Source organism: Homo sapiens, chromosome 11 (genome assembly GCF_000001405.40).
Source record: "Homo sapiens chromosome 11, GRCh38.p14 Primary Assembly".
In the NCBI taxonomy this organism is placed as follows: domain Eukaryota; kingdom Metazoa; phylum Chordata; class Mammalia; order Primates; family Hominidae; genus Homo; species Homo sapiens.
In genome coordinates this window covers 103,186,746-103,209,685 of record NC_000011.10, presented here as the reverse complement: position 1 = coordinate 103,209,685, position 22,940 = coordinate 103,186,746, and the positions used below count along the sequence as shown (strand labels likewise).

At 34.4% G+C, this 22,940-nt stretch overlaps 1 protein-coding gene across 6 annotated transcripts in view; it reads right to left on the bottom strand.

Annotated features, from left to right (window-relative positions):
- The window catches only part of DYNC2H1 (dynein cytoplasmic 2 heavy chain 1), a 370,438-nt gene that overhangs the window by 270,178 nt on the left and 77,320 nt on the right, over positions 1-22,940 (bottom strand). For 4 of the 6 annotated variants that reach the window (NM_001080463.2, NM_001377.3, XM_017018291.2 and 1 more), the window contains 10 exons: positions 22,100-22,346; positions 21,038-21,189; positions 19,870-20,014; positions 18,067-18,169; positions 17,422-17,589; positions 11,623-11,753; positions 10,210-10,458; positions 9,532-9,640; positions 5,910-6,023; positions 4,722-4,864 (listed from right to left, as the gene is read on the bottom strand). In NM_001080463.2, the coding sequence (NP_001073932.1) occupies positions 4,722-4,864; positions 5,910-6,023; positions 9,532-9,640; positions 10,210-10,458; positions 11,623-11,753; positions 17,422-17,589; positions 18,067-18,169; positions 19,870-20,014; positions 21,038-21,189; positions 22,100-22,346 (1,561 nt within the window). Of the gene's footprint in view, positions 1-4,721; positions 4,865-5,909; positions 6,024-9,531; positions 9,641-10,209; positions 10,459-11,622; positions 11,754-17,421; positions 17,590-18,066; positions 18,170-19,869; positions 20,015-21,037; positions 21,190-22,099; positions 22,347-22,940 lie in introns of those variants that run through there. The other 2 variants (XM_006718903.3, XM_017018293.2) reach the window with 2 other exon arrangements.

Here is a 22,940-nt window from a genome sequence, read left to right as displayed (position 1 = left end):
CATTAACTGATTGCAATGGCACACTGGGAAAAGCTCACTTGAAATGGTGAGACTATATGAAGTAAAGGAAATTACAATTTGGATTGAATTAGAAAATAATCACAATGTCATTTAAAAACATACAATAATAAAAATATTTTATTTGGCATAAAACTAGTAAAATGCCTTCATGACATAGTGGGGTAGCAAGGATTCTTAGCTTTTTCAAAAAAAAACTAAAATTAAATAAAAATAATTTTATAATCAATAATTTCATAACTGATCATTCTAAAAAGTATATTCTCACTGTGACTGGAATTTTGCCACTACTGTAAATAAGCAAATACAGTTTCATAAGCAGATATCATTATTATTAAAGTAAAGATAACCTTATAAGAATGCTACTTTAGAATATACAAAAGAAAGTTTAGTGTCCTGAAAAAAAATTAAAGTAACAATTTTGAAATTTTAAATTAAGCCAAATAGCTTCAATTTCTTTCACCTGATAGAGCTGAAGTTACCAGCAAGAAGAAAACACAAGTGATCTTGGTAATTAGGTCAAAAAATCATTTTTTAAATTTCTCAGACTGAAAAAAAAATGTAAGCCAAAAGATGTCTTCATTAATGCAGAGTTCGAATGTACCATAATTCTTGTGACAGAGAGTATGCCTTCACTGATTTCTGACAAAACACTTAAACCTATACGAGAATATTTTAAACTTATATTTTTAAATCAACGTTAATTTGTTTCTTTGGGAACTCGTTTTCTTTAAAATGGTCTATCCTCAAACAATATCCTACATTAGCAAAGTGTGCTGGCCTGATTTGCCCCTGTTCCTTCCCTTGAAGTAAAAATGGTACTTTTTAAAGAGTTGAATGGGCATAGTAAGCCTATTAATTTGCTTTATTTTCATCTATTACATATTCTCATATATTTCATATATTAACATATTCATAACATAATATATAACATATATTAACATTTTCATACATTAACATATCCAAAACTGATGGATCCTATCAACCCCTTCACACTAACTTTCAATTGCTTCTAGTTGCTTATTAAATAAAATTCAAAGTTATGGCACTTAAACACTTCCCCTCCTTAACTGTCCCCAATCTGGCTTTTAATGATATTTCCCACTACAATGTTCCACATACCCTGTGCAGCAGCCACATGAACTCTCTGTTTCCCAAGCACACCATGCAATATCATGTCCTTGAACCACTGGGCCTGCAAGTGCAAGTTCAAGGCAGTGCCCTCTTGTACTTCATCACTAATTCAAAATCATCCTCACTAAGCTCCCTAAATTCAGTTTTCATATTATCAGGCTAGAGTAACCACTAACCCTCCATGGTGCAGGCATCTACCAGTCCAATCATTTCTTCATTCCACAAATAATTTTAGCTCTTGGCTCACTGTCACTCTTTCCAACACAATCCTTGTCTTACCTTCTTAATTATTTTCAATTTCAATATCCATTATAGATAATCCCTCTAATACCCTCATGTCTCAATTCCTTGGTTGCCTCTTCTCCTCTTAGCCACCAACCTTTTGTCAGCCACTCACCTACACAGTCAAATCATGAGATTTTGTAATTATCACTAAGTGAAATCCTTCCATAATCTCACTTTCAAACATCCCATTCTTCTATCACTATATTCCTGTCTTCCCAGCTTACTCCCTTCCAACATCAAAATCCTGAAACTCCACTGAAACCTACTATCTACCAATTTGACCACCTCTTCACTGTCATTCACCATCTTCCTATCCTAATTTACCACCTTACCAACTTAAATTCCATGGTAAATCAAAATAATTATATTCTTATAAATATTCTCAACTCTCTTGCCTTCAATTGTTTTGTCATACTCAAGCACCAAAGTCCCAATTCTGATCAAATCTAAGTCACCACCTACTCAAGGTCTGCATCCATCAAAGCACCTATGGCTTGAGAAAAAAACACACAACTATGTTGTTTGGCCTCTACTGAACTCCATGATCACTAACCTCAAGTGAATCCTATCATACTCCATTCTCCTAATCCTTTCCCTCTTTCACTCTCCCAAACTACTGTTTTCCATGTCTTCTTGTGTCTCTTTAAGCCTCCAAAGCCTCCTCCCTCATTCTTTCCCTCAGGGGATAATCTTCCTATTTCGCTAAGAAAATAGAAACAATTAGAAAAGAGTATCCCAAACTTCCCAGTACCATACCTGCCCACCTACCTGGATCTATCCCCCTCTATTCTGCTTTCTTTCCTGTTATCACAAATGATTCCTCCATTCTCATAGGAAATGCCGATCCTTAATTCTTCCATTTGTACACTAGATCCATTTGCTGTGCACTTACTCAATGATATTATTCTAGCAATTTTTCCCTGTTTTGCATCACATATTTTTTGCTTCCCTATTAAATCATTCTCAACAGCATATGAACATACTATAGTGTGTCCCATCTTTTTTTAAAAAAAAAAAAAAAAAAACAGGCCCAGGCACGGTAGCTCACGCCTATAATCCTAGCACTTTGGGAGGCCGAGGCAGGTGGATCAATTGAGGTCAGGAGCTCGAGACCAGCCTAGCCAACATGGTGAAACCCATCTCTACTAAAAATACAAAAATTAGCCAGGTATGGTGGCAGGCACCTGTAATCTCAGCTACTCGAGAGGCTGAGGCAGAAGAATCGCATGAAGCCAGGAGGCAGAAGTTGCAGTGAGCCGAGATTGCACAACCACACTCCAGCCTGGGCGACAGAGCAAGACTCTGTCTTGGAAAAAAAAACAAAACTATTTTTACCCCTCCTTCCTCCAGTTACTGACCCATTTCTCTCATCCTTTAAACAAAATTCCTTAAAAGAGTGTACCCACATTCATTGTCTCCAATCTTCTCATTCTTTCTGAAACGTATTCCAATACGGCTTTTTCCATTACTAACTGCAACTGCTCCATCAAAGTCACCAACGATTTCCACATTGCTAAACCCAATGATCAATTCCTAGTCCTTATCTACTTTCATTGTTCATCATACTTTCTTCCTTTGACATGCTATCTTCTTTTGGTTTTTAAAATATAATGTTTGTCTGGTTTTCTTCTTATTTCCCTAGCAGCTGCTTCTCAGTGTCCTTTGGTTCTTCCTCTTCATCTCTCCAGTTTCTTAATGTTGAAGTGCCCTAGGGTTCAGTCTTGGATTGCTGCTCTCTTTTGTTTATTCTTACTCTCTTGGTGATATCATTCATTCTTATAGCTTTAAATATCACCTGCACTCTGATAATTCCTCAAATTTTTTTCTGTATGCCTGACCCCTGGAGCTCCAGGCTTATATTTCCAAATGCCTTCCCAAACTTATAAGTTCAATGTCTGGTATCTCATATTTAACACATCTAAAACTGAAGGCCTCATAGTCTCATCTTAATATGTTCTTTTCACAGTATCCTCTGTCTCAAATGATAGTCATTTCATCCTTCTAGTTGCTCAAGCCAAATATTCAGAAGGATCATTGACCCCTCACTTTCTGTTACACCTTATTACAATCTGTCAGCAAATCCTGTTGTTTCTACTGCAAAATGTATGCAGAATACAACCATTTCTCACCACCTTACCACTACATCCTTAGCCCAACCTATCCTTTTCTCTCTGGATTACTGCAATCATTTGTAACTGCTCCAACCATTGCTCTCTATAGTCTACTTTCAGCACAGAAACTACAGTAATCCCATTAAAAAATGAGTCAGAATATTTCTGTTCGAAAGCATCCAAAAGTAAGTTAGTTCTCAGGAAAAGCTGAAATCCTATAGAGTGTAGTAGCTTACAAAGCCCCATCCTAACTGGTTTCCTCTTAGTTCTCTGACATCATCTTCACCAACTCTCCCCTCAATCACTCTGCTCCAGGTGAAGTTGCCTCTTACTGATCCTCAAAATCATCAGACATGCTCTCTACCCAGGATCTTCACCTAGAAAGCTTTCCCCGCAGATATACCTGAGAAGAATGTAAACACCATGAGGGCAGGGATTTCTCTCTGGTTTTTTTTCGTCTGCTATGTCCTCAACATATATAGAACAGTGGTACTTACTAAGCACCCAATAATTACTTCTTAATGAATGCCTCTTATTCACGTGGCCTCCTCAAGCTAAAATATCTTTCAGTAACTAAAATATTACCTCATCTGTAAACCATGTCTTTTATCTCCAATTACACTCCTTACTCTGAATCATGGCAGGCATTAAACTATACTTCTCTTATAGAAAAATAAAGAAATTAGTGATTGAGAATATGAATATCATTTAAACAAACAATGTTGAAATTATTACTTATTCAAATGAGGTAAAATAAGAGGCTTCCAGTTAAGATAGTGTTATGAGTTCACAATTTAACTCATCCCCCTCCAAACACACAGCATAGTGATGATATTTTTTAAGGATTTAAAAATTCTTTAATTGTTAAATACTTGCTATGATTTTTTAAAAATCTAGGACAGCCTGTAATAGGCTAGTTAATTAAAGCCATAAAATTTTAAAGTATAGTTGTCTCTGGGGTCCTTAATTAAGAACATGATCCTCAATCTAAAATTCTACATTCAACTAAATTATGATGCAAGAGTACGAAGAAAACAGACATTTCCAAACATAAGAGATGTTTGGTGCCATAATTAAGGTGATGTTATAACCAACACCAAAGAGAAGTTGTGAAAATCAATAACTTCAAAAATAAAATGTGCTTTTAAATTTTTTAATATTTGTTAAACTTACTTTCTTCATACTGCTATTGGACCAACCCTCCATCCACAACACCTGGCATTTCTTATGCAAAGCTGGATTACTCTCACAGTTTATCATGAAGTTTGAATTTGCAGAATCCATTATCAAGACAATATGCAAGTTTTGCTGAATTCCTAAGAAATATATAAGAATAATAATACAATCAGGCAATCTATACGTGGTCTGGGTTAAAGAGATCAAAATTTTCTCAAATGAAATAGTAGGAGTTGTTTCTTAAAACGAGCACAATATAAAACAATATTATGTTATGATTTTTATTTTAGTTAAAAGAACACTTATAAATTTGTGTATGTGCATGTTAAGAAAAAAGACTCAGAAAAATGTCCATGAAAAATGTAAGTGTCATAATGTCTGGGTGGTGTGATTATTGCCTCATTTTTTACTTATTTCAATTTTGGATTTCTACAGTGCATATAAAACTGTTTCTATAAGAATAAAAGGCTAGTTTTTTAAAACTATGAAGTCTGGCACAATCTAAATGGTTCAATAGTTCTTTAAGACAGGAGGTACTAAAGCAGCACTAATTTCACCACATGAAACAAAGGAGGCAAGGTAAATATTCCAAAGAACATTACCATACTTTCATCATTCCTGTTTGCTAAAATTTTGCTAAGGTATTGATATGGTTTGGCTCTGTGTCCCTACCCAAATCTCATTTTGTAGCTCCCATAATCCCCACGTGTTGCGGGAGGAACCTGGTGGGACATGATTGAATCATGGAGCGGGGCAGGTATTTCCCATGCTATTCTCATGATAGTGAATGGCTCTCATGAGATCTCATGGTTTTAAAAACAGGAGTTTTTCTGCACAAGCCCTCCTTTGCTTGCTGCCATCCATGTAAAATATGACTTGCTCCTCCTTCCCTTCCACCATGATTGTGAGGCCTCCCCAGCCATGTGGGAACTGTGAGTCCAATAAACCTCTTTCTTTTGTAAATTGCTCAGTGTCAGGTAAGTCTTTATCAGTAGTGGAAAAACAGACTAATACAGGTGTTTTTATTATAGGTTAGCCTATCCACTAGTTAGGTGTTACTTTCTAAAAGCTCCAGAAAAAAGATTTAAGATACCTTTGCAATCTAATGACAAAATAAGGCAAATTAAATGATATATATTTCATACAAACCAGTTTGATTTGATTAATGAATTCTATGTCACTTACTATATGTGAAGTAATTGAAGACTGGTCCAAAAAAACCATCTTGTGAAGCTTGATCCTTAAGTGGTAACAGCAAGGGCTCTAATTCTTCAAGAGTATAGAGTCCAGGAACTTCACCTACAGAAAAATATTAGACTAATTGAAAACATTTTAATAAATGATGCTTTTTCAATTTTTGTATTTAAAAATCTGCTCTTATTCAATCTTTATTTCCAAAAATATACAAACTTTATTACCTCTACTTGACTCACAAATCTTTATCTATAGCCCTCATTTGATAAAATTCAAACACCTAAGCAAACCACTCAAAATAGTCATACACTAGCCATCTGTCTACCTTTACTGGTTATTTTTCCATCTTCCTCCATAAGACCTTGTACTCTAGCCTCAATAAACTTGTGTTCCATAAACACAACAAAATATTCTCTCTTCTTGGAATGTATACTTACAGTCATCCTCTGCCCCTTATCTTGATACCCAATAAATTCTTATCCTTCAAGATGCTACTTCCCTAACTGCTATGCCCATAAGCCTTTCTTGACTGCCCATATGCTGATTAAACACTCTTTCTCTTTCACATACTATTCAAATATATCACTTTTTAGCACTTATCACATCATTTAATAATGAATTACTTCCTTCTTATCTCCAATTAGACTTTAAATTTCTGAGGACAAATATTTGACAATGTTCAACATTTAACCCTAGAATATTCTTACCTAAGTATCTAGAACAAAAATATGTTTTACATAAATGAATGAATGAAAAGATGAACTTGTACTAGAAATCAGAAGAACTGGTCCATGGCCTGCTACTATGCAGGCCAAATCATGATGATGAATAGAATGATGAAAGGCAAATCAAAGTTGATTAAGACTACAACTTTAGTCTTAAAGACAGACTTAAAGATAGAGGGCCTGGAGCACATCTTGTTCACTTCTACAAATTGTAACAGTATTTAAAACTTGGTCCTGCATATAAGAGGCATTTAATAAATATTTGTTAAGCCAATATGTTTACAATTCACAAGAAACTATAACATTAAGTGAAAAGTCCTTTGCTACACATCCAAAATAATGCATTCATATAAGGCCCATCACAGTCTGATCCCTACTTTTCTTTAGGTTCAACTAAGAGGCACCAGACCACCCCCACCCCACAAGCTTGTACATACTTGAACACATGCACACATAAATCTGTATATGTTTTTCTTCAAATTTTAGACATACCAAGATATTTTTGATTCCTTAAATTTAGCAAAAAATGTCAGCTCTATCTATATATTATACACATTAGGGAATAAGAATTTGAAATAGAAAAAAGAAACCAAGCCTACTGAATACCTCCTCTGAAAATAAAATGCCAAGATTTGACTTCTCATTTTTACGATTATATCTTGATAATAAAGACCAATTTGTCTTAAAATAATGATTATTAGGTTAGTGCTTATCTGAATGTTTGCTTTCCAAAAAAAAAAAAAAAAAATCTGTGTTTCTGGTCTCATCAGCCAAAATGAACAATGTCTCCATCTAGTGACAACTGAAGCAATACGCAGGAATGTATTCCTTAAATATCAAAAGATGGAACGCTCTAAGTCCACTCAAGTACTACTACTTTCACTAAGCCATTATCCCTCAACTTTTTAACAGAAATGGATCTACCACTTGTCTAATTAGAGCATCCTGGTCTGTATTTCTCATCTGGGCACTAATGTTTAAATATTACTTATTATTTAACCAAAGCTGTTAAATTCTGAAGAAAATTTCTCCTCAGAGCACTAGCATGATACAAAGCAAGTATTTATTGAAAACTGAGTTGAAAATGAGTTCATATAACTTTGTCCTTTGATCCCCACAGTGATACCACCCATACAATTGAAACTAGTTTTTAAGGTTTATTTTGTACTTAAATAACAAAACACTCTTGATCCAAGTTTAAAACTAAGCTACTTCCTCCCAATCACTAACAGTGATTACTCATAGAAATATTCTAACAAACTTCATAAATTCTTCAAAAAAAAGGAAGAAATATAGGAATTCGCAAGTGTCCTCCCCAGGAAGACACCAAAAAGGTCAGGTAACACCACAGACAGCAGGAGAGTACCACAGTTTGCTGGGGACAGAGCCACAGGAGAAGAGTAGCAACAGTTCTTAGTTCAGGTTGCAGAGACTCAATTAGGGAGTCACAATAGCCAAATGATACTCCCACCATACCCCAGAGATTTTAATTCAATGGATTTAGGGTAGTAGCAAAGAATTCGTTTTTAGTTGTTGTTGTTGTTGTTGTTTTTAATTATCCTAGTGATTCTAACGTGCAATTAGGGGTGAGAAATGCTGAGGAATATAAATGGACAGTGCTTCATGTTATATCTCAGAGGAAAAACAAGACTCGAACTTATCTCAGAGGCAAAATGCAAGTAATGATTTTCAAACCATAGAAATCTTGAAAACATAAAACAATAAATATCTCTACAATCCATAGAATTCCAGATACATAGAGAGCCCACTTAGCCATAAATTTCTAGAGAGTATTTGTATTAAGATAGTCCTCTTTCAAGTGGTATTTTTCTATTATACAGATGCATAAAGTACATATAAGTTCCTTTTTTCCTTAAAAATAATTTTAATTTCTTCTTTTAAAAAACAAGATTACTGGCCAGACGCGGTGGCTCACATCTGTAATCCCAGCACTTTGGGAGGCCAAGGCGGGAGGATCACCTGAAGTCAGGAGTTCGAGACCATCCTGGCCAACATGGTGAAACCCTGTTTCTACTAAAATTACAAAAATTAGCCAGGCATGGTGGCGCATGCCTGTAATCCCAGCTACTCAGGAGGCTGAGGCAGGAGAATCACTTGAACCTGGGAGGGGGAGGTTGCAGTGAGCCGAGATCATGTCACTGCACTCCAGCCTGGCGACAGAGCAAGACTCTGCCTCAAAATAAATAAATAAACAAACAAGCAAACAAACAAGATTACTTATTACTTGATTTGTAATATCCAACTGAAGAAGGAGAATGTGCATTTTTCCAGGTTAATGAATGCAACTATATTCCAGACACATGAAATGTGGGCACTAATGTGTAGCATTATGTGGAATTTCATATATCTGGAGTATATGTATATTCATATATCCATACTAAGGCCATACTATTATATAGTTATACAACCATGCCACTACTGATAGGAAGGTTCTATCAAATGTTTGTGATTATAAATTATACTACCTATTTTCTTACATACTACTTCTTTTATTTCTGTGGGTTAAATTCCTACAGATAATAGAATGGTACATCAAAGAGTATGGCACAGCTTTTAATAAGTCCTAGATGATAATTTTCCCAAAGGTTATAACAGATAATAACCCAGCAAAAGTATATGTAAAAGTCAATTTTTCTGAATATTCACCAATACTCAATATTAACAATTTTTATATGTCTTAAATTATTGGTTTTATAAAAATGGAGTCTCTCAATTCTCCTGCCATGAGCATGTTTAACACCATGTCTCCTAAGTAAGAACTATGCCAAAAGTTCTCCAAAACAAATAAATTTTGCACAAGATAATTTTACTTGGATAATTTTTATGCCATTATTTTTATTTTCTTCGAAAAGAAACTGTTCACTTGCCTGAAGACAAAAGGCTATTGATCATCTCCAAAAATGTAGGATGTACAAACTGGTAATCCTCAAGAAGTAAAACTACCTGTTGTGCTTCAATTCCTGCAAGTTGCAGCACCTGCAAAATCAGAAAATATTTTTTAGTGCCCTTTAAGTATTTTTGGTACAGTTAAAAATTAACATTTTGTATTTGTATGTAAAGTATGCCAGTATCATGTGTTTATTTATTCATTTATTTCCATTTTAATAATTAAAAATCAAACTTTAGCCACATAATTTGGAAAGTAAATCCAACCCCTAAGTAAATACTAATTATTTTACAGCTAGGCCATTAAAATTAAAACAAGTAGATCATTTTTATCTCTACTCATATATTTCCTATGTAAATTCCATCCTTCTGTTTACCATTCATGTCTGTCTAACATCCCATGACCTGGAGTATCTGCTTCCTAGAAATTCTAATAGTATTCTCTTTCCTGTCTATAGATAAAAATGTAATTTTCTAATAATCATGGAAAAAATAATCTAAATTAAAATAAAGACTACATTGTATAACAGAGAACTTTAGTTCTTTAAAGATGTTCTTTAAAACTTTAGTTCTTTAAACCTTTAGGTCTTTAAAGATGTTTAGAGTAATAACCAATGTAATTTAAAACCAAATAAAGCAAAAGAGAGTGGGCAACTCACATGTTTGAGATCATTTTTGAACTGCTTCAGTTCATATCCTCTGGAAATCTTTGGAGAAAACAGGACCGCTCCATGCATGTGACTGACTAAAGAAGTGATGGTCCGACGACCTACACCACTGCGTCCTGCTAATAGAAGTGAACCTCCAGGGAAACTCAGCACTCTATCTATCCTAGACATATACTCCAAGACTTCGTGGAAAAGTAAAATGTCTAAATTCTGGTTATCTCGTCCATAATGAATAAGACCCTTTTAAAAAAATCAGAATATTTTATAATTAATATAAGCCCTAATTACATAATAAAAATGTTACTTACCTAGGTTAAAATATTATATTTTTGATACATTCAAGAAAAAAAGTAAAGTGACTACATATCATCTCACACTCAATATTTTATATGTCTGGTAATCCTGGATAAATATATTGGCATTCTCTAAGGAAAAACTCATGTCAAACAAGTTCAAGGGTCCGTGAAAATCAGTTACTTTTGGTCACTGCTACACTAATAAAAAGCAGCATGAGATAGCAGGTTAATTATAAAACTTTAAAATTGCTCAAATTTTATCAGTTGTCATGAATCAGTGTGCATAGACCATGAAAAAAATCCCCAAACTCTAGAAATCTAGTGCCTAAAAAATCTTTTGTGAATGTTTGTTCTTTCGCATTGCTTGGGAATGAATCAAAAGCTAACACAGGTACCATGCTCTGCCAGGGACTACCTGATAGAGTGCAGGAAGGGAGAAAGGAAAATTAGACTTTACATATTTAACAACTTTCAACGCTTCAAAACTTTGCAACATCCATTCCAGGCGAATCAGTTTACCAGACCATGAAAAAATGTTTCCTGATATAAAATCCACACTAACATTCAATATAAATATTAATTTTTAAAGCAATCATTTGCAATACTGTTTCTTCTTCTTGATTATAACTAAACTTTAAAAGAGAAAGAAACTCTCTAGGATAGCACTACTCAAAGTTTCAGTGGACCAGCAGCATCAACATCATCTGGGAGCCTCTTAGACATCTGGACTACCTGGGTCACCTAATGAATCTGACACTTAAGAGGATGAGACCCAGGAATCTGCATATTTTCTAATCTCTACATGACTCTAATGCTCTCTAAAGTTTGACAACCACTGCTCCAGAGTAATTTCCTGATTAATATTAAACCTCATTAATATTTCCAACATACCTTTGCCCAAAATGTATCTTAGCAATTTTACACATATCTATGTAAGTACAGGCACATCTCGTTACATCCGCCACAATGGACTAAATTCCAAAAGATAAGAACCAGCTTTGCCTATTCTACAATCTATCATATTCATGCCCTCTAAATATTTACAATAAATATTTTTAAAAGACTATAATGACCAAATCCCAGTTCCAATTAATGATTCATATTATACCTTTTTAATAACATCCTTGAGATCAGTAGAGTTTAGTTTTCCAAGTGGTTTTCCATGTGGAGGTAATGGTTGTCCTGGGGCTGCCCTTGCTCCTGAATTATGCCGAGCTCCCCATGTAACGTAGAAACTATCTGTGGAAATAAATGATATTTTTGTTTTATATGCATTACTCGTAATGAGAGTTCAACAAATACATTGCCTACTAAAACATTTTTAAGTTAATAATCCAAATAAGATCATCTCCAGAAGGGCAAAGGCAAAATACTTTAAAGTGTACATTGTAAGGTCAATAAAATCAGGTGAAATACAATGACTGAGCCAGGCAAGGTGGCCCACGCCTATAATACCCGCACTTTTGGAGGCCAAGGCAGGAGGATTACTTCAGCTCAGGAGGTCAAGGCCAGCTTAGGCAACATAGCAAGACTCCATCTCTATAAAAAATTTAAAAATTAGCCAGGTGTGGTGGCACGCACCTGTGGTCCTAGCTACTTGGGAAGCTAAGGCAAGAGGATCACTTGAGCCCAGGAGTTTAAGGCTGCCGTGAGCCATGATTGCACCACCGCACTCCAGCCTGGGCAAGAGAGTGAGATCTATCTCAAAAAAATAAATAAATAGAAAAGAAATACAAAGACCTTCAATTGCAATATCAAACTCTACCTGAAAAGTGACTGATGGCACCACTAGTCTATATTCTGCCCCCTCACTTCTTTCTCCTGAAATGAACTGGATTCCTTCTACCTTTCTCCCACTACTCCCCACTGTCTATTCTCAGTTTGTCCCATTTTCCTCCTTCTATTTCAGAATCTACATAAAATTTGTAAATTAAAAATAGTTCACATAAAATTAGCAAATAAAACAATCTCAAAACTCTCCTTGAGAAAGGACATAGATGTATTAATACCAAAAAGAGCCCTAATGTTTAAAAAAAAAACTGACCAAATTTCAATTAGAAAACAAAAATCCCCCAAACTTCCCTTAAATCTACCTATAGCAATGTTCCTGTTACCATACAAGGAAAGTCTATTCATCATTCTATTGAACTTTTTCCTTCCCAACTCTTCTGGGAGACTGTTCCACCAAGCATCCTTGTCACATGCTCAGTTCCAAACTCCCCTAAAAAAACAACCTTACCTTCCCTAGATCCAAGCTATGTCATGTTCTCCCTACTTTCACCATCACATTTTTTACATTATTTTCTATCTGTACAGGCTACTATACTAAAACTTATTTGGGAACAATAATACAGTCATAATCTCCAAATCTAAATCTTCTTTGCAATCATTATCCCAACATGACCTTTGTGCATCTCTTCTTTTGTGCTTGCATCTATGTAACCCTACTTATCACGCCACAACTACCAGTCCTTTTCAGTTTTCTGCTTTATCCCTTATATACTGATACTCCCTGGGGTCCAATTTCAGCCTTCTAGTCTTTTAATTCTAAAATTCTCCCCGAATCATTTAATCTTTTTTTGTCAGTTAAATTATCAATAATTTATATACCAAAAACTCACCTACTACTTATCTTTAGGCAAAACTCCTATGTTCTGGGCTAGTCCTGTACTTCCAATTGCTTAACAGACATATAATTCATGCATTCATTGGCTCAATACTTACCTATTGAGCACCTGTGTTTAAACAAGGTACTTTCTGCCTGAGATAAGTATTGAGTAAGACAAACATGATTCCTACCCTCATAAATGATCAACTCCATGTAGATTTCCAAAAGACATGAAGAAAGATTGCAAACATTCAAAGCACATGTACAAAACTGAACTATTATCCTCACATCTCATCATTTCTCACTTGGACTATTGCAGTAGGCTCTTACCTTGTATCCCTGCTATAAGTTTCTGCCTCCTCAAGTACATCCTTACTACCACTAGCATAACACATATAAAAACAAAACCTGATTGTGCCACACCACTGCAATATCCCATATAGCTTTCCACTTCTTAAAACAAAACAAAACACCAAACTCCTAATGATGGCCCTCCACAATCTGGCTTCACTGATTGTTTGAATCTTCTATCTCTCTCTGCACTATATACTCTAGTTTTCTCAAGCCTCTGTTTCTTTGCACATTGTTTTTCCCTTGTCTGGAATATCCTTCGCTTACTATATTCATCCTTCAAAACACAGTTTGAGCACTTACAATTGTTTTAACAAATTTAAAACTTAGGTATAAGTTAGGTATAAATCTAACATAACATGTATAATACTTGAATGCTGAAAACTACACAAAACTAATGAAAGAAAGCAAAGATCTAAATAAATAGAGGGATTAGATAAATGGAGAAAATGGGAAGACTCAACAGAGAAAAGATGTCAATTCTCCCCAAATCAATATACTGATTTAAGCAATTCCTATCAGAATCTCAGCAACATTGTTTATGGATTCAGAAACGATTATTCTAAAATCTATACGAAAAGACAAAGAAACAGAAATAGCTAAAACAATTTTGAGAAAGAAGTCTAAAGTAGGAAGAATCAGTCTAAACCAATTTCACAACTCATATAGTAGCTAATCAAGACAGTGTGGTACTGGCAGAAGGACAGATACATACATCAATGGAGAACCCAGAAATAGACCCATGTTACCAATTTTTGACAAAGCTGCAAAAGCAATTCAGGCAGAAAGATAGCCTTTTCAACAAACGATGCTGGAGTAAATAAACATCCATAGGCAGAAAAATAAACCTTGACCTAAGTCTCATTCACTATACAGAAATTGACTCACAATGGACCACTGACTCAAATGTAAAACATAAAACTATAAACTTTTAAGGAAAACATAGGAGAAAATCTTCAGGATCTACAACTAGACAGACTCCTTAAACTTGACATCAACAGATCCTTACGATGAAAAATGATAGGTTAGGCTTCACAAAATTATATAAAAACTTTTTATCTGTGAAAGACCCTGCTAAGGGGATGAAGAGACAAGCCTACTGAGAGGGAGAATATATTTGCAAACCATATATCCAACAAAGGATTGGTATCTCTAATATACACATATTCTCAAAACTCAACAGTAACAAACCAATTGCTGGCTGCAGTGGCTCATGCCTGTAATCCCAGCACTTTGGGAGGCTGAGGCAGGTGGATCATTTCAGGTCAGGAGTTCAAAACCAGCCTACCCAACATGATGAAACCGCGTCTCTACTAAAAATACAAAAATTAGCTGGGCGAGGTGGTGCACGCCTGTAATCCCAGCTACTCGGGAGGCTGAGGCAGAAGAATCACTTGAGCCCAGGAGGTAGAGGTTGCAGTGAGCAGAGATTACACCACTGCACTCCAGCCTGGGAAACAGAGTGAGACTCCGTCTCAAATTAAAAAAAAAAATTTGATTGGAAAAATGGATAAAAGAAATGAAGACATTCCACCAAAGAGGATATACAGACAGCAAATATTACACAAAAAGATGTTCAAGTTCACTAGCCCTTAGCAAAATGCAAATTAAAGCCACAATGACATATCTATATACACTTACATGAATGGCTAAAATACAAAATAGTAACAACACCAAATGCTGACAATGATGAGGAACAATACCGCTATAAAAAAAAGCCTGTTAGTTGCTTAAAAAAGTAAGCATGCAAGCACCACACAACCCTGCAATTGCATTCCTGAGCATTTATTACAGAAAACAAAAATGTATGTTCACACAAAAACCTGTACAAGAGTATTCATAGCAGCTTCATTCCTAACAGCCAAAAACTGAAAACAACCCAGATGTCTTTCAGTAGATAAAGGGTTAAAAAAAGAGTGGTATATTCATATGATGGAATAAAAAGCAATAAAAAGAAACGAGCTATCGAAACAAAACAATCGGCATGTATCTCCAGAGAAACAGGTTGAGTCAAGATAACTTTCTTGAAGTGACAAAATTAAAGAAACAACAGATTAGTAGTTTCCAGGAGATGGGAGAGAAGTGAGTATGGCTACAAAAGGGTAACATTATAGATCCTGTGGTGCTATAACTGCTATAACATTTGTGGCATCTAACCACACTAGCAATAGTTATCATTGTAAGCAAAGATTTTTATATCTGTTTCTGTCATTAGATTACAATCTTCTTAAGGACAAGAATGTATCTAGTTTATTTTTATGTCTCCAAGATTAAATTTTTCTTAATAAGCTTATCTTTCAATATGTGAAAATCCTATATGCCTAGATCTAATATATGTCAAAACTGTATTTTTAAAAAAGAAAATCTGGCTGGGTGTGGTGGCTTACAGCTAATCCCAGCACCTTGGGAGGCCAAGGCGGGCAGATCACCTGAGTTCAGGAGTTTGAGACCAGCCTGACCAACATGGAGAAGCCCTGTCTCTACTAAAAAAAAAATACAAAATTAGTCGGGCGTGGTGGCACATGCCTGTAATACCAGCTACTCGGGAGGCTGAGGCAGGAAAATCAGTTAAACCCGGGAGGCGGAGGTTGCGGTGGGCCGAGATTGCACCTTTGCGCTCCAGCCTGGGCAACAAGAATGAAACCCGTCTCAAAATAAAAAAAAAAGAAAAAGAAAAAAGAAAAGAAAAAGAAAACCTTTCACTGAAGAGAAAAATAACAAAAAAAGACATATTTTATTTATTGAGTCTTAGACAGGAGACTGTGAAAGATACCAAACTCTTCAGAGGATTCAGACACCCAATTAGGTGCCAATACTGTCTTATGCCCAAAGGATATGCCACTCTTTGCAAAAAGAGACACTACTGACTCAATTTTCAGACTGAGAAAGATAGCACCATTTAAGAACCTAAGCTTCTCCACACTAAGCCATGCAAGCTACAGGTCATAATGACATAAACCCTCACTCCAAGTCAAGCAAACTCTGAACTATTAATATGATCAGGCTTCTCTCAGCATTTCATCCTTCTTGAAGTTTCTCTTGAACCCATTTCCTGATTCAAAAACTCAGGAGCACCTAGAAAATTCTTTCTGTCAATCTAAACATCTTTCCCACCCTCGAAGTTCCCTTTAGGATAGGTACTCATGGATCTCAGACCAATATCAAATCTAGAAATGTACAATATACTAAATGTATATGTTGGTGCAGAAGTAATTGTGGTTTTGCCATTAAAAGTAATTGTATAAAATGTATTTATTATATAAAATATTTTTGAAGCCTAGCTTTATCCTCTGAAAAAATAAGCACCTTTTGTGGCCTGACAGCAGTTTTATTAGGAAATATTTCCATATTGCAATCTTCTTTTAATGAAAGGCCCTCTCACAAGGATGACTTTCATATTACATACATTACTCCCACGATAGTTTTCAAAATGCAGATTGGTTATTAAGCAGTAATAGTTGCAAATGCAACACAGCAGCTTTGACTGGTGTTAAGCTTTCTTTACAATAACAATAGATGAAGATGGTAACAAGCATATGTAAGTTCTATGCTAATGACATTATACGTAGTGACAGGAATAAGAATAGCCATTGCTCTTAGGCAAAAGGTCATGACAATCAAATATGAATTTTCCCAATGATCTTCATGTTTTATATACATGTAACTGTTTTTCAAAAAAAAACTTTTATTAAAATAATCTTGCATTGCCAATGTAAAACAGTATGGCCTGAACTTTTTTCTAAGAAAAAAATAATTGCCATTATATTTTGATTGAAACATGATTACTGAAATCCAGCAAAAAAGACTGAGCTGTACCTTACGGAAAAATAATATTAAAATTATTCAAAGTTTTTATTTGTTTAGACCTATAAAATCATGCTCTGGGTAAGAAAAAATTTCTGAAATCCTTGTAATAGTTATGTATTTGCATAAGCTCTATTACCTTACCTGACATATTGTCTAATATGTCTGAGCCCCAATCTCCTTGAAACACTGATGTTAAAATGATGTCAAATAAATGAAGTTCCTTTGCACCAACAATTTTGTCACGAAATAAGCGCCGTGCCTCATATGCTACAATTTCTAACACATAATCTAGTGGATGGTTTGAGGATCCTAGAAAAGGCAAAATTTTATTTAATTGTAATATAATGATTTTTAAATAATATGTTTAACATAAAATTAGAAAGAAATAGCAGGTGTCTACATACCATAATTTTGGCATCAGATAAATGGAAGAAAGGAAAAAAAGTTAAAATTCATTTTGTTAATAAGTTGGTACATGTTTGTGATTACTTAAAGATGACATTAAATACTATCATCTCTAGTTGTTCAACAAAAATAATTCCAGAAAGTATACTAAATATGCTTTGCCTCAAATATAATGATTTCATTTTTCCCAAAAGGAAGTTTTAATAGTGACAATCATACACAGTTTGGAAGAAGAAATATAATAATTTTAATAAAAATATTTCTATTTAATAATATAACTTGTGATATAATACGCATTTAACTTATCTATTACAAATACAATCTAGAGAATAAATGTGCACACACACACACACACACAAGATACACACTAGCAAAACTCACCTCCTTCTAAATCATATCTAAATAAGCCAAGAACCCATTGGGTAAGAATGCAAGGAGTAAAGAAATAGTGACTATAATCATCAACTGTAAATTTGGCTCGCACCTGAAAAAGAAAATACAGTAAACAATCTTTCTACTGCCTTAAATAATAATCATGTTATAAATTTTTCAGTCTCCTTAGACTCAGAGGAATACCAATTTCTACCTGTAGATGGAACTGGATTTCAATATAAATGACTTCATTATCTTTATACTATATTTTATGCACTTAAAAACATTCTGGTCGGGCGCAGTTGCTCATGCCTATAATCCCAGCACTTTCAGAGGCTGAGTGGGGGCAGATCACGAGGTCAGCAGTTCAAGACCAGCCTGGCCAATATGGCAAAACCCCGTCTCTAAAAAAAATATAAAAATTGGCTGGGCATGGTGGCACATGCTTGTAGTCCCAGCTACTTGAGAGGCTAAGGCAGAAGAATCACTTGAACCAAGGAGGCAGAGGTTGCAGTGAGCTGAGATTGTGCCACTGCACTACAACCTGGGCGACAAAGCGAGACTCCATCTCAAAAAAAAAAAAAAGAAAAAGAAAAAAAATATATATATATACATATATTCTAAGAAGGGTTCATAGGCTTCAACAGATGGCCAAAAAAAAAAAAAAAGGCTAAAAAGCCCTGCTGAACAGAAGAATTCAATAAAAACAAACCTAACCTTTAAATATGATGGTTGCAATTCCAAGGTACTCACAGGTCTAGGTAAGACCCATTTTTTAATGCTGGGAACCATTAAAACAATTTAAGTTCAAGAAGTCACTGAACAAATCAAAGTATCTCTCTTCAATATACAACCAACCGGTAAAATGCCTGTCCCTTCCTCTCTATGGACAGAGCCATTACTCTTATTCTGATCTTGATTACTTAACATCTTTATTTTTTTAAAAAAAGGAATTTCTTGCTTTTAAACTTACCTATCCCCACTTCTACTCCAATATTATAAAAAGCATCTTCCACAAACATGTCTATAACTTGTACACGCTATTCCCTTTATCTAAGAAGACATTCTTTCACCTCCAGCAACTTGGTGAATTTCTATTAATTTTTCAAAACTCAGATCAAACTTCACCTCCTCCTTAACAACTACCATATACAACAAAGTTATTTACTCCTCCTCTGTGCTATCTCTGTAAGTTAGACATACTGTTATTGCTACATTTATTACACTGCATTAATAGCTTATTTATATGACTCAGCCCCTCATTAGACTGCGAACATTCAGTGAAAATAAACTAAGTCATCTTTACATCCCTAGGACTACTACTGGCAAGAAAAGGTGCTCAACAAATGTTTTGTGTATCCTCAATGCCTACTTTCAAGTATCTTCCCCATTTTATCTAGGAAGAATACTTTAGACATTTCCTCACAGTCAGGAAGAAAGAAAGAAACATCAAAGACTGCTTGCAGGTTTGAAGCCTGGAAGACACAAACTGATAGAAGTCAGGAAAAAGATCTGTTTTGGGAAAGAAGATAAACTCAATTCTAAATATGCAAAATTTGAGCTGACAGCAGAATAACCATCTACCACAAATGCATTCATTCAACAAATATCGAGTGCCTATTAGAAACTGTGCCATGGATACAACAGTGAATAAGGCACACACAGCACCTGTCTTCACAGTTACTCTCTACTAGAAAAGTCTAATAAACAGGAAAGTAAAGCCTGGGTGTCAACACAGAGGTCAGAATTAAAAGTAGACCTTTAGAAATGATACTAATAGACATGAAAGCTACAATTTAGATGCATATCTACCTGTTCATACACTTGTACCATAGATCCTGCTAAAAGATAAATTTTTGATGAAGAACCCCAAATAGAATGATTCTTCAGATTTTTATGTAGAACTGGTTCCAAATATGCTCCATAAATCGTTTGTAACTGCTCTCTTTCTGGGTAACTAAAAAAAATGGCATATAAGAAGAAAGCTGAAATAAATCAGTATTCCAAATTAATATTTCAATGTTAAGTTACAACAGTGGTTTTGAAACTGTGCTGCTCTAAGACCTACATATCTCCAAAGCTTACCCAGGGGGCTAAGACTAGGCTCATCGCCCCGATCCATTCTCATTTCAACCAAATTCGATCCCGAAATATCTATTGTCAAATACCAGAAGGTGTTAGAGAACCCCAAGAAATTATGTTAAAACATATCACTGATCTTCAGAAAAGACCAAAAGGAAAATTTTACTTTTGAAAAGCATTTTTGAGTTACATAAGGTCTGTACACAGGGCAGTAATCCACCTCAGAACTATAAAAGTAAAACTAATACAACAAATAAAATCAACCCCTTTCTCCCAAACCAAAATGTATTTCAATATGGTTTAACTGGCAGCAGGAATATTTCTAGAAAAAAAAAAGTTTAATTGATGGAGTACAATTAGCACAAAAGTATACAAATAAGGTTTTGTAATATTCAATATTTGTAATGTAATATAATGTATATTAAATATAAACAGAGGAGATATTGCCATAGTCTCTGTAATTATGGCCCGTGGAGATGATTAGCATTGATGCCACCAGCCATTAAAATGACCCTAATTCTCCCTTGTTCAGATTGAAATTCTCTTTTTGTTATCTTCATAAATTTGATGGTATTTTTGTTTCATGAACTGCATAAAACATTTAAATCTAAAATCCACCATTCAGACTCCTGAGATTGACATTTTGGAACACAGACTACACAAAACAGTTTCGTTTTATTTCCTGTTAAACATATCATAAATAAGATGCTTTGATTAAAGCTTTTATCATCCTAAATTATTGCCTATATTTTGAGAAGGGTAGGAAAAAATATCAGAGGTTAAGTTTGACCATTTTTATATTCTAAATTTTAAAGTATTATCATAAATACTTTAAATAAAATTCATTTATATATGATATCTTCCCAAATTAAAAAATCTGAAACACAAAGATACATACTCTATAGAACAAAGACGAACGATGGAAGTAAATCTGGTAGTAAGTTTATGTCTTCCCAGTCTTCCTCCAGCTGACATAGAAGCCACAATTTGAATATTTTCTAGACCAACCCATTCCAAATTTTCATCATAAAATCCTTGATACGTCAATACCTATTTGAAAATAAATATATTTTAAACGTTTTTTATCTAAGATTTCCTAATCATGATAAAGGATATTTTTGCCTAAGTTTCAATTATTTCTAAATGCAATCATCATCTATCTAACTCAAGAATTTTAGATTAAATGGTATCTTAAATTATTATATCACTGAAAAATAATACTGTTCAAATCTCTGTGTTCTATGAATGTTAGCTAAATTATCCTACTGTTTAAAATGCTTTTCTCTCTAATAAACACTAAAATGCAATGATATTATAAATTGAGTACAATTAGCCTAGAAAATGAAAGTATCAGGAAAAATATGAGAAAAATATTTTTGTTTTTTTCTGTAAATATTTTATCATATTCTGCAGTTACATAATAAGCCTAAAATTGGACCTATACCGTAATAAACTCTAAGAATTTATAGCTTCTAATGTGATGTAAATAACATAAAGAAAAAATATATTCCACACTGATTCAGGATATGTGATCTCAAATCCTTATACAGGCAAAAATGGAGAATAATGGGTTAAAGCAGCCAGAAAAAAACATGACCAAGTCTAACTGCAGTGAGAAGAATGCATACTTTAAAACATGAAGCAAAAATTTCTCCACCTCCACCACCATGTCCAGCTTTTGTTTTCCTCCTTGTTTTACGAATAAAGGACAAGTAATAGATGTAGAGTGAAGGCTGTTTCTATTCTCCCTGTCATGTATTATCCTGACGTAATACTAACTTCTAAAGAAAGGAAAATCACAGAAGAACTGGAACAAGACTGAAGTGTTTCAGGAGTTTAATTTCCATGACAAATGCTAGATAAAACTGGCCCCAAATGAAGAATGAATATTTTCTAAGAAAAGTTAATGAAATTAAATTGTTTCCAATTAGATTAAAACACTTCAAGCAATATGACTTACCTGTTGTAGGAATGCTACCAAAGTACTGGTCCCCCATTTATCAAGTTTAGGTAGGTTGATATCTTTTAAGTACAGAACAAGTCTTTCACAGTCTTTTGGTCTGTATACACGACCAGTATTAGTACTGATTACCATGCAAGTCTGGCTCAGTTTCTGCAGGAGATGTCGAGAAGTGGTTTGTGCACTACAGTGAACTGTAGCAATTTGAGTGGACCGGAGTTGTGAAAATGCGTACCTGAGCAGCATCCTACGAAAAATGCATGACATCTGACTTTGATAAAAATGCAACCAACAAAATACATTTTATACTCAATAAGAAATTTCTATCTCATAAATATTTCAGTTTCTAAAATGTATATGATGATAGGAAAAATGGTAAATACAGATATGGCTTCCATAACTATCAAAGCAACTTTCTTTTAGACTAGAAAAACATAAATTCATGTTTTAAGGCATTGTGAGGACTGTTTTCAGCCAAAAAAATCAAAGTTCTCAGAATTAATCTAGTTTGATAAAGTACATGTCAAATATACCAACCCTGTTTCCCCACAGTTGAAGGATTTTAAGATTTTAAGTTCCATGAGTTTAAAAAAATTACTATGATTTTATACAATTTTTAAAATTACTACTCCCCTACTAGAAATATGAAAATAATAAACCATGGTTCCTATATTTCAGGAGACTATGCTCCATATGAACTAAAACTAGGCTGAATTCCACTGAATTAAAAGCTACTTTTAAATAGAGATCTAACTTCAAATTTTAAATTTTATAACTAAAGCAAATGGTGTGTGAGTATATATAAGGCATTCTTTTTTTTTTTTTTGCTGTATTATATGGA